Below are 8817 nucleotides of genomic sequence, written 5' to 3'. Positions count from 1 at the left end.
GCTGTAGCAGGCAGGTGATAACAGGCTTTAATCCTTTCAAAGCATGCTGTGGGATGGGATATTGCCATTGAGCGGGGTAAGGGTGATTAGGTTTTAATGAGATGGTAAGGGGTGCATGATCGGTCGCAAAGGAGGGAGTAGAGGTATCTTATACTTGTGGGTTAAGGTGGGGGCATACAAGAGGAGAACACAAAGGAGGCTTTGGATTGGGAAGAAGGGCGGCAACGAGATGTAGCTGTAATCCAGGAATAGTCAGGGAAGCAGATAATTTAGTTAAAGTGTCTCGGCCTAATAAGGGAACTGGGCAGGTGGGGATAATTAAAAAGGAGTGCTTAAAAGAGTATTGTCTAAGTTGGCACCAGAGTTGGGGAGTTTTAAGAGGTTTAGAAGCCTGGCTTTCAATACCCACAACAGTTATGAAGGCAAGGGAACAGGCCCTTGAAAAGAAGGTAATGTGGAGTGGGTAGCCTCCATATTGATTAAGAAGGGGATGGACTTACCCTTCACTGTGAGAGTTACCTAAAGCTCAGTGTCTGAGATGGTCTACAGGGCTTCCAAGGCAATCGGGCAGTGTCCGTCTTCAGCCACTAAGCCAAGAAGATCTGAGAAGGAGCCAGTCAGAGAGCCTTGGGCCAGAGTTCCAGGGTCTCTGGGAGTGGCTGCCAGGTAAGTTGAACAGACCAGTTTCCAGTGGGGTCCCACACAGATGGGACATGGCTTAGGAGGTATCCTGGGCTGCAGGCATTCCTTGGCCTTGTGGCCAGATTTCTGGCACTTGTAGCAAGCTCCTGGGGGAGGCGGTTCTGGAGGAATGCCTGGCCACTGTGCTTTAGGCGTTTGGAAGTTCTTGTGTGCTGGAGATGTGGCTGGGGTTTGTCTCACAGTGGAGGCAAGGAATTGCAACTCAGAAATATGTTGCTACTTGGCTGCCTCTACTCTATTATTGTACACCTTGAAGGCGAGGTTAATTAAGTCGTGTTGTGGGGTTTGAGGGCCAGAATTTAATTTTTGGAGTTTTATTTAATGTCGGGAGCAGATTGGGTAATACAATGTATATTGAGAATAAGACATCCTTTTGACCTTTTAGGGTCTAGGGCTGTAAAGCATCTCAGGGTTGCTGCCAAATGAGCCATGAACTAGGCTGGATTTTTATATTTGATGAAAAGGAGCCTAAACGCTATCTGATTTGGGATAAAGAAAAAGGAGCATTAACCTTGACTATGCCTTTAGCTCCAGGCACCTTTTTAAGAGTAAATTGCTGGGCAGGTGGGGGAGGGCTAGTCACGGAACAAAACTGTAAGCTGGACCGGGTGTGAGGAGGGGAGGTGATAAAAGGATTATAGGGTGGAGGAGCGGAGGCTGAGGAAGAATTGGGACCTAGCTCAGCCTGGCAAGGAGGGGAGAGGTCAGATGGGTCTGTAGAAAAGGAAGATTAGAAAGACTCAGGGACACTTGGGGTTGGGACTGAGGGGACAGGTAGGAGGGAAAGAAGGAAGATTTGGGACAAGTTGCATTGGGAACAGAGACTAGGGAGGGACTGATGTGTAAAAGAATGCCTGGACGTCAGGCACCTCAGACCGTTTGCCTATTTTACGACAGAATTATTTAGACCTTGTAGGATGGAAAAATTGAAAGTGCCATTTTCCAGCTATTTGGAACTACTGTTGAGTGTGTATTGGGGTCAAGCAGCATTGCAGAAGAAAATAAGACACTTAGATTTTAGGTCAGGTGAGGGTTGAAGAGGTTTTAAGTTCTTAAGAACACAGGCTAAGGGAGAAGAAGGAGGAATGGAAGGTGGAAGCTTGCCCATAGTGAAGGAGGCAAGCCTAGAGAAAAGAGTAGAGACACGGAGAAGGGGTGGGGGGTTCTTGCCCTCCATAAAAGCGGAGAAGGGGTGGGGAGTTCTTGCCCTCCATAAAAGCAGAGAAGGGGTTGGGGCATGGAAATAAGGGGTTGGGGCGCAGATATAAGAGGTTGGGGTGCAGAAATAAGGACTGGGGCACAGAGATAGGGGATTAGGTTTCCTGCCCCTCCCCCAGAAAAGTGGGACTTGCCGCTAAGGGTGAAGTACCAAGGCAGGCGTCCCTGCGTGGTCTGACACCTCTGAAACCTGGGTGAATAATCATACAGGCATCCCTGCAATGATTAAACACGAAGGGAAGGCTGCCTTCCCTAGTCCATGACCAGCACCGGAGTTTTGGGTCCATGGATAAAATGTGTCTCCTTTGTCTCTACCAGAAAATGAAAGGAATTGAAATTAAGAGAAGGGAGAGATTGAAGTGTGGTGCCAAGATTGAAAGGAGAAAGAGGTTGAGGGATAGTGAGGGAGGTTGGAGAAGAGAGTAAAAAGAGGCCGCTTACCGGACTTGAAATTGGTGAGATGTTTCTTGGGCTGGTCGGTCTGAGGACCTGAGGTTGTAGGTGGATCTTTCTCACAGAGCAAAGAGCAGGAGGACAGGGGATTGATCTCCCAAGGGAGGTCCCCCGATCCTAGTCATGGCACCAAATTTCACTCACGTCCGTGTGAAGAGACCACCAAACAGGCTTTCTGTGAGCAATAAAGCTGTTTATTTCACCTGGGTGCAGGTGGGCTGAGTCCGAAAAGAGTCAGCGAAGGGAGATGGGGGTGGGGCCATTTTGTAGGATTTGGGTAGGTAAAGGAAAATTACAGTCAAAGGGGGGTTCTCTGGCGGGCAGGAGTGGGGGTCACAAGGTGCTCAGTAGGGGAGCTCTTGAGCCAGGATGAGCCAGGAGAAGGAATTTCACAAGATAATGTCATCAGTTAAGGCAGGAACAGGCCATTTTCATTTCTTTTGTGGTGGAATGTCATCAGTTAAGGCAGGAACTGGCCATCTGGATGTGTACGTGCAGGTCACAGGGGATATGATGGCTTAGCTTGGGCTCAGAGGCCTGACAGTTGGCACAAGATACAGGTCATAAAGACCTTGCTGATAAAATAGGTTGCAGTAAAGAAGCCAGCCAAATCCCACCAACACCAAGATGGCAATCAGAGTGACCTCTGATGGTCCTCACTGCTACACTCCCACCAGTGCCAGGACAATTTACAAATGTCATGGCAATGCCAGGAAGTTACCCTATATGGTCTAAAAAGGAAAGGCATGAATAATCCACCCTTTGTTTAGGATATCATCAAGAAAAAAACATAAAAATGGGAAACCAGCAGCCCTGGGGGCTGCTCTGCATTAGGTGTAGCCATTCTTTTATTCCTCTACTTTCTTAGTAAGCTTGTTTTCACTTTATTGTGTGGACTTGCCCAGAATTCTTTCTTGCGTGAGATCCAAGAACCCTCTCTTGGGATCTGAATCAGGACCCCTTTCTGGTAACACAGCTAGTCGAGCAGAGGCATAGAGAAAGGGATAGTATTTGCCTCCATTTCTGACACAGCTTCTCCACTTAAACCAAAGACCTTGACTCAGACACTTGAGTTTACAAAACTTCACATGTGGGGCTTATAAGAAAATGTAATTAAAAGCTAGAGCAAGGAAACTGGGAAAAATGAAGGAAACGTTATATGACTGCAGGAGAAAGCACGATTCTTAGTTGGGGTTCTGGTTGCAAGTACCGGAAAGAAACTTGAGCTAGTTTAAATAATGAGGGGGGCGGGGAGAAGGAATGTTTCTGATGGGATACTGTATTCGCTTTCCAGGGCTGCCTTAACAAGCACCACAAACTGGGTGGCTTAAACACCAGAAATCTGTTGTCTCACAGTTTTGGAGGCTGGAAGCCTGAGATCAAGATGTCGGCAGGGCTGGTTTTTGTCTAAGACCTCTCTCCCTAGTTTGTAGATAGCCACCTTCTCTCTGTGTCATCACGTGGCCTTTCCTCTGGACCTGTGTCTCCCTGCTATCTCTTTCTCTTCTCATAAGGACACCAGTCATATTGGATTAAGGTTGTTGATGAAAAGAGTCAAACTCTGTGAAATACTTGAAGAGATTTGTTCTGAGCCAAATATGAGTGACCATGGCCCAGGACACTGCCTCCGGAGGTCCAGAGAACATGTGCCCAAGGTGGTTGGAATGCAGCTTGGTTTTATACATTTTAGGGAGGCATGAGACATCAATCAAATACGTTTGAGAAATACATTGGTTTGGTCCAGAAGGGCGGGACAATTCAAAGGACAGGGGGATGCTTCCAGGTTATAGCTAAATTTAAACATTTTCTGGTTGACAATTGGTCAAGTTTGTCTAAAGACCTGGGATTAACAGAAAGAAAATATTCAGGTTAAGAGAAAAGATTGTGGAGACAGGTTCATTTGAACTCTCAAAGTGGCTGCCCTTAGAGACAATACATGACACATGTTTCCTATTTGGACCTTTAAAGAGGTGCTAGACTCTCAGTTAATCTCTTCAGGATTGGGAAGGCCTGGAAGAAAAAGATCTAGTTATGTTAATAGAGATTCTTTACAGATGCAAATTTTCCCCCCACAAAGGATGGCTTTGCAAGGCCATTTCAAAACATGGCAAAGAAAAATGTTTTGGGGTAAAATATTTTTATTTTCTTCTTTGTTACATAATGTTATACCAGAGTCAGATTGGAAAGTAAGTCATGATATATAGTGTTAAATAAAACCCAACGAATGAGAATTTATGGTTTATAGGGCATGATTCCCCAGACCCCATAGATAGGAATTTGGGCAAGAGAAAAAAAGCAGAGATTAGTCCTCAATAGTATAAATCAGAGAAAATGACCTTGGCAAGTTCAATCATTTTAGGAAGTTTATTTGCCAAAGTTAAGGACACATGCCCAGGAGACAGGTCTAGGCCTTTCTCCAAAGATGGTTTTGAGGTCTTCCATGTTTGAAGGGCAGGATATTGAGAAGTACACAATTTTCAGATGAAGGGGAGAGGGGAAAATAGTCATTCATGTCTTTGTCAGGCTCAGTGAGTCTGCATTTTGTATGTAAGGTAATGCAGCGAGGCGCAGTGGCTCATGCCTGTAATCCCAGCACTTTGGGAGGCCAAGGCAGGCAGATCACAAGGTCAGGAGATTGAGACCATCCTGGCTAACACGATGAAACCCCATCTCTACTAAAAATACAAAAAATCAGCCAGGCATGGTGGCGTGCACCTGTAGTCCCAGCTACTCAGGAGGCTGAGGCAGGAGAATCACTTGAACCTGGGAGGCGGAGGTTGCAGTGAGCTGAGATCGCGCCACTGTGCTCCAGCCTGGGTGACAGAGTGAGACTCTGTCTCAAAAAAAAAAAAAAAAAAAAAAAAAAAAACAAAGAAAAAAAAATCCAAAAAATTAACTGGACGTGGTGGCGGGCACCTGTAATCCCAGCTACTCGGGAGGCTGAGGCAGGAGAATTGCTTGAACCCAGGAGGCTGAGGTTGCAGTGAGCTGAGATTGCACCACTTGACTCCAGCCTGGGTGACAAGAGAGAAACTCCATCTCAAAAAAAAAAAAACAAAAAAGAGGGAATGCAGACAGTAGGGCGGAGGAAACAATCAGATATGCAGAGGGATGACTGAGTTCTGTCCTGTGTCCCTATGCAGCTGCAGAAGATAAGCCATCAATTTACATTATCATGGTGAACTTCAGCAGAACTGCTTTAGGGTGAAGATCTTGGGGACCACAAGGAATTTTCTTGTGGGCAAAATGTGAGGAAGTTACGTAGCTTTTCATCTTTGTAGCTGTCTTATTTGGGAACCAAAATGGGAGTTAGGTATGTGTAATCCAGTTTCCAGTTTGGCTTTTACCTTTGGCTTAGTGAATTTGGGGTCCCAAGATTTCTTTTCCTTATATTTTTGTAACAAGAGTTACAGAGGTATCTCATGGACTTCATTAAAAGGTTGAACAAACAGACCTTAAAAGAGCAGATACCAGGCTGGGTGTGGTGGCTCACGCCTGTAATTCCAGCACTTTGGAAGGCAGGCAGATCACTTGAGGCCAGGAGTTCGAGAGCAACCTGGCCAATATGGTGAAACACCATCTCTACTAAAAATAGAAAAATTAGCTGGGCATGATGGCACATGCCTGTGGTCCCAGCTACTTGGGTGGCTGAGGCAGGAGAATCACTTGAACCTGGAAGGAAGAGGTTGCAGTGAGCCGAGATGGTGCCACTGTACTCCATCCTGGCAACAGAGCGAGACTCTGTCTAAACAATACAGAAACAGAGAGAGAGAGCAAACACCAGGGCTGCTCCAACAGGTATTTAAGATTTTTTCTTCTTTTTATTTTATTTTTTTGAGATGGAGTTTCACTCTGTCACCCAGGCTGGAGTGCAGTGGCACATTCTTGGCTCACTGCAACCTCTGCCTTCTGGGTTCAAGCAATTCTGTCTCAGCCTCCTGAGTAGGTGAGATTACAGGCACCTACCACCACATCTAGCTAATTTTTGAATTTTAGTAGAGACTAGGTTTCATCTTGTTGGCCAGGCTGATCTCGAACTCCTGACCTCAAGTGATCCACCTGCCTCGGCCTCCCAAAGTGCTGGGATTACAGGCGTGAGTCACCGAGGCCCGCTGAGATTTTTCCTTCTAGAGCAAGAATCCCAAACAGTAATGCTCCCAAGCACTAGAAGGTAGGATTAACGAGGGCAGGGTAAACAAAATGGATTGGCAGGGACTGTGGGGAACTGGAGAGTGTGGGACCCAACTAAAGAGGGTGCTACTTAGCTCCAGACAATTGCTGCCTTTCAGAATCCCAGGCCTGGTACAGTTAGATGGTCCAGTTTTCTAACAGAATCCAAAAGTCTGGGTTTTTAGTAAAGTTTACAATATTTTAAAAACCATGCAGGCCAAATAAAGCATATCTGCCAGCTAGATCTCTGTCCAGTTTGTGGTTTCTTCTTGAGAGCTGTAGGGGAGGAAAGATTTTTCTCTTTACCTTCCTAGGTTTGATAGCTGGATCTATGAAATTAACTGACAACAGGGAGATTAACAGGAAAAAAAGTATATAAATTTATGAATTCTTAATGTAACATGCATGAATGCATCACAGAAAAAAAAGTGAATACCTCAGAAAAGCAGTGAGATTTGAGAGCTTCCATTCCATCTTAATAAGGAAAGTGGGGTGGGATGCAGGTCACTTAGGAGAGTAGAAGATTTTTAGGAAAGATGAATGAGCCCATAGAAAATAAGATGGGAAATATGCTAGGTTGTGACAAAGTTTGTTTGAGAGTGGTGTCAACTTCTAGTCTCTCTGTGATGAGTTCATCTTCCCTGGTTGATGAAACTCCCAGGGATGGGACTGATGACAATTTAGTTTCTTTTGCAGGATCTGTCCTTAGGCAGGTAAGGGAAGTTCAGAGAGGGCCTCTCTCTGCACTGCTGTTTTTTTAAGTGCCTTCAACTCAAAATAATCAGTGTATCAAACTGGCAAATTTTGGGGGTAGCAAGAACCGAACCCCTTCAGAGCTTTGCTGTGATGTGACTCAGCTTCCTTCTCTGTGGCTCAGTTCTGAGGCGAGAGGTCCTGATTGGCCCAGCTAGGGCCGGTGGGGTCAGCTAGGGCCAGCTAGGGCTAGCTAGGGCCAGGGAGGGATGACTCAGCGAAAATGTGGCTACTGAGTGGGCAGAGTGACAGAGTGGTTCCTAAAGAAGAGGGTCTGAAACTGCAGGATCCTGTGGAGGGAGTGAGGGGTCAAGGTAAAGCTGTTTATCACTTTTCCGTGTCAATGGGAATCATATCACCCAGTGGGAAGCAACTTGCAGCTTATGGAAAAGAAAGAATGAAATGAAATAGGCCTAAACTGAAACACAAGGAATTTAAATCAGACATTTGGTCTTCCAAAGGGAGCTGTAAAGCTCTGAGAATTTACCACAGGGTCTCAGGTCCTATCAGATTGAGTCAAAACATATCTGTCTTGCCTGATCTCTGGGAAGACCTTGTCAAGCATCATCTGTCATTGTCTCCACTCCCTCTCTCAAGCCCCTAAATCCCAGTTCACATGCAACACATTCACTGCCTTCCCCGAGAGGAGCATGGGCCATTTCTTATCTCACCAGCTTGCAGAGCAAAGTGTGATTTGAGCACTGGGGCCCAGTCACACCTCCCCTCCCCTTACCTTCCCATTGAGCCACTGAAAGTACCAGCAAATCCTTTGATGTTGCTGATTCTGTATTTAAGGTGATGTCTTCATTTGGGAAAAATAATTTCACTCTGATGGGCTGATACCGATGGGAAACTGGCATTGTCGATTGTTATTAAGTTAGAGGATACATGGAGGGTGATGATAAATTCCATGCATTGAGTTATTAAGAACAGGTTTGTACCCCTACTCATTTGCTTTAACATGCCTCCTTCACCCCCATCTATTAACTTGTGCCTATTTGAAGGCTACATATGCAAATAGAGGCAGAGCTATCAGTGGAGGTGGGGGCGGTGGATGGGGGGACACAGCTGCTTTGGGGGAATAAACTAAATCACATCCACTGAACTATTTTGCTGTTTAAATCCATTCTAAAGATATCCTAGGAGCAATGAGTGCTCTCAAACAACCCAGCTAGGGCTCCAGAACATTCATTCTGATGGTAGTTCTGTCCAAAACTTGAAGGACAACAGCTGCAGAAGGAAATTATAGCATCAGAAATTTCCCAGCTGCTCAACTCCCTGTGGACCTGCTTCTGATAACTTTTCTTTCTTTTATTATTTTTATAATTAATTCATATAATGCTTTAAAGTCAACACAGTTGACAGGGTGTCTTCTGACCTTTCATTCATTGGAATAAGTTTATGGAATGCCTGTCATGTGCCATGAACCATTCTAAAAGTGGAGACTTTCATGGCCAACAAAACAGACAAGGGTCCTGCTTTTGTGGCTCTCACACTGTGATGGCAAGAAGGAAAGGAAGA

General features: G+C 45.5%; 3 annotated features.

Annotated features, from left to right (window-relative positions):
• Window positions 279-778: an enhancer, noted in NCBI's record as "H3K27ac hESC enhancer chr3:72074415-72074914 (GRCh37/hg19 assembly coordinates)". NCBI's record gives its function as "activates a minimal SCP1, AML or CMV promoter by ChIP-STARR-seq in primed H9 embryonic stem cells {active_cell/tissue: H9 hESC(primed)}" and the evidence as "EXISTENCE:reporter gene assay evidence [ECO:0000049][PMID:30033119]".
• Window positions 779-1280: an enhancer, noted in NCBI's record as "H3K27ac hESC enhancer chr3:72073913-72074414 (GRCh37/hg19 assembly coordinates)". NCBI's record gives its function as "activates a minimal SCP1, AML or CMV promoter by ChIP-STARR-seq in primed H9 embryonic stem cells {active_cell/tissue: H9 hESC(primed)}" and the evidence as "EXISTENCE:reporter gene assay evidence [ECO:0000049][PMID:30033119]".
• Window positions 6814-8013: an enhancer, noted in NCBI's record as "MED14-independent group 3 enhancer chr3:72067180-72068379 (GRCh37/hg19 assembly coordinates)". NCBI's record gives its function as "activates an origin of replication core promoter dependent on BRD2, BRD4, P300/CBP and CDK7 cofactors, and independent of MED14, by STARR-seq in HCT116 cells {active_cell/tissue: HCT116}" and the evidence as "EXISTENCE:reporter gene assay evidence [ECO:0000049][PMID:35650434]".

Source organism: Homo sapiens, chromosome 3, assembly GCF_000001405.40.
Source record: "Homo sapiens chromosome 3, GRCh38.p14 Primary Assembly".
Lineage (NCBI taxonomy): Eukaryota > Metazoa > Chordata > Mammalia > Primates > Hominidae > Homo > Homo sapiens.
Note: the sequence above shows the minus strand (reverse complement) of the source record. Positions and strands in the feature narration are given on the sequence as shown.